The sequence below is a fragment of the Homo sapiens genome, chromosome 4 (assembly GCF_000001405.40).
Source record: "Homo sapiens chromosome 4, GRCh38.p14 Primary Assembly".
Classification (NCBI taxonomy): Eukaryota; Metazoa; Chordata; class Mammalia; order Primates; family Hominidae; genus Homo; species Homo sapiens.
This window is the reverse complement of record NC_000004.12, coordinates 161005503-161006799: the sequence shown is the minus strand read 5'-3', so window position 1 is coordinate 161006799 and position 1297 is coordinate 161005503. Positions and strand designations below refer to the sequence as shown.

At 30.9% G+C, this 1297-nt stretch overlaps 2 annotated features.

Moving 5' to 3' along the window:
- Window positions 674-843: an enhancer, noted in NCBI's record as "experimental_75168 CRE fragment used in MPRA reporter constructs". NCBI's record gives its function as "activates a minimal promoter by MPRAs in K562 erythroleukemia cells, with activity observed for both the introgressed and non-introgressed 4:161927194 or rs34479926 variant alleles {active_cell/tissue: K562}" and the evidence as "EXISTENCE:reporter gene assay evidence [ECO:0000049][PMID:34662402]".
- Window position 758: a transcriptional cis regulatory region, noted in NCBI's record as "Neanderthal adaptively introgressed variant 4:161927194 (GRCh37/hg19 assembly coordinates) or rs34479926 in the experimental_75168 CRE". NCBI's record gives its function as "modulates activity of the experimental_75168 enhancer by MPRAs in K562 erythroleukemia cells {active_cell/tissue: K562}" and the evidence as "EXISTENCE:reporter gene assay evidence [ECO:0000049][PMID:34662402]".

Here is a 1297-nt window from a genome sequence, read left to right as displayed (position 1 = left end):
AAGTTAGAAGGGCACAAAATGAACACATGAAGGATAGAAAGCAGATTAACATGTGGCTCTTATTTTCTATAAATCAGTCTTTGATGAAAACAAGACTGTCGAAGTGAAGAAATGAAAAGCAATGATTACCAAATTACACCACCAAGAAATTGTGTCTTAAAATGCTTCATTTTTAATCAAACTCTCCTTTGCATTAAAAACTTGAACTGAAAAGCGCCTCTGGAAAAAAAAATATAAAGTTTTTTTAAGAGGGTGTAAAGCATTTGAAGCCTTTGGTTACTCCAATTAAATCCTATTTTCTATGTAGTACTAAAATTATTAGTAGTAAGCTGCTTGGACCCATTGTATGTTAACAGAACAAAGATAAAACTATGACAGCTATTAGAAGAGAAAGATAAGGTAAAAAAAGAGTTGATGAAGAATGTAAGACAAATGACATATAAGTGAAAAAGAAGCAGAGGAAAAGATTAGAGTTCTCCTTGACTTCAAAGAAAATAAAAAATTAACAGATCTGGCAGCATTCACACATGAACACATTTATATATACACACAAATGCAAATGCATGATTAAAACTAGTGAAATACAAAGTATTTGATGAAAATACAGATTGAGTAAGAATAAAACCATCTTTTCTGCTAAGTATCTCCCTTTACAAGAATAATAAATGATATATATAATATATCTTCTTTCAGGATGTCATATTTTCTCTCTAGGAAATCCTCATCTGCTAATGAAAAATCAAACATGAAGCAGTCTCATGATATATTTCTAAACCTCAGACCCCTCCTTTACAAAGTCTCACTTGCTTTCTGCCAACAACAGATGTCTTCATTACATTTGAATTCCTGACACAATTGAAATGCCTTAGGCTCTGTTAGACAAGATTATGACTTAAAAATCTCTGTCTTCTTTGCCCAGAGGAGCGCCTAAAACTCTTACAGTAGATGCTCATTCAATGGTAATTGGGTTAAAAACATAGATATCATTTTAATAAAATATCAGTGGCATAATTCCAAGCTTGGTAGATTTTTTTTTCTCCCCGGCTCCTGAGGAGACTGGAGAAATATTTTCATCATATTTTAGCAAGAAGTGCAGAGATCACAGGACTAATCATATTGTTATATTTAATATGTAAACAATAATCAAGAAAAATATTTCATGAAATATTCAGTCAAATGTAGCAATCAAACTCCCTTTTTCCTCCTAATTATACCAAAAATGCTTAAAATTGTTATTTATATATATTTGGATCAAAGCAAGTGATTCCGTATTTATCAATCCTAATTTATTTTACAC